The sequence below is a fragment of the Homo sapiens genome, chromosome 2 (assembly GCF_000001405.40).
Source record: "Homo sapiens chromosome 2, GRCh38.p14 Primary Assembly".
Lineage (NCBI taxonomy): Eukaryota > Metazoa > Chordata > Mammalia > Primates > Hominidae > Homo > Homo sapiens.
The window spans coordinates 234,077,135-234,078,211 of NC_000002.12; positions in this window are offsets into that span (position 1 = coordinate 234,077,135).

Sequence of the window (1,077 nt, forward strand, 5' to 3'; positions counted from 1 at the left end):
GACTTTTTCTTTCGTTGCCTGGTTGTTGTTGTTGTTGTTGTTGTTTTTAAAGTAACATTAACTATGAAATTTTTTGATGAGAAACTAATAAGATTGGTGTTAGCTAAGGATTTTAGGAGTTGAGGACTCTCAAAGTGACTGGCGTATTTCAGGTCAATTTAAAATGGTTGTAAATTTCTTGTTGTTAGAAAAGCAAGCAGTTCAGTGTCAGAAGAGCTCTGTTTTTCTCTTTATGTCTAATTTTTGTTTCTTTGTTTGTTTTCTTGAGACGGAGTCTCGCTCTGTCACTCAGGCTGGAGTGCAATGGTGCAATCTCGGCTCACTGCAAGCTCTGCCTCCCAGGTTCATGCCATTCTCCTGCCTCAGCCTCCCGAGTAGCTGGGACTACAGGCGTGTGCCACCACACCTGCCTAATTTTTTTGTATTTTCAGTAGAGACAGGGTTTTACCGTGTTAGCCAGGATGGTCTCGATCTCCTGACCTCGTGATCCGCCCTCCCAAAGTGCTGGGATTACAGGTGTGAGCCACCGCACCCGGCCTATTTCTGATTTTAATTTTGAAAAATCATCCATGGAGCTCAGGGGACTTTCAGGACAGTGAAACTGCTCTGTATGATACTGAAATGGGAGATGCATGACATTATGCACTGTGAAAACCCGGAGGATGTGTGACACAGAGCGCACACCCTAATACTCCACACTCGTGCGAGATGTTAATGGTAGAGGAAATTCTGTGGGGTGAGGTTTAGGGTGGGGGAAGGAGCTATCTGAGAACTCACTGTATTTTCTGCTCAACTTTTTAAGAAACCTAACACTGGTCTAAAAAATAAAGTTTATTAGTAAAAGAATTATCTGGTGGCTAAGGAGTAAGAGGTATCACAGTCATCAGTGTCCCCATAAAATACCCTTGTTGCTGCTTTTCCTCCAGGTTTCGCAGTCTAGGGAATCTATAGCAAAGCGAGCTTTCTATCAAAGCAGGTATTGCCAGGAAGAGATCCAGAGGACTGGGGCTTCTGTTCCCCAAGCCACTTAGAAATGTGCTCCAAATTGGTTCCGTTCCTGGAGCCGGGTCTGCTTTG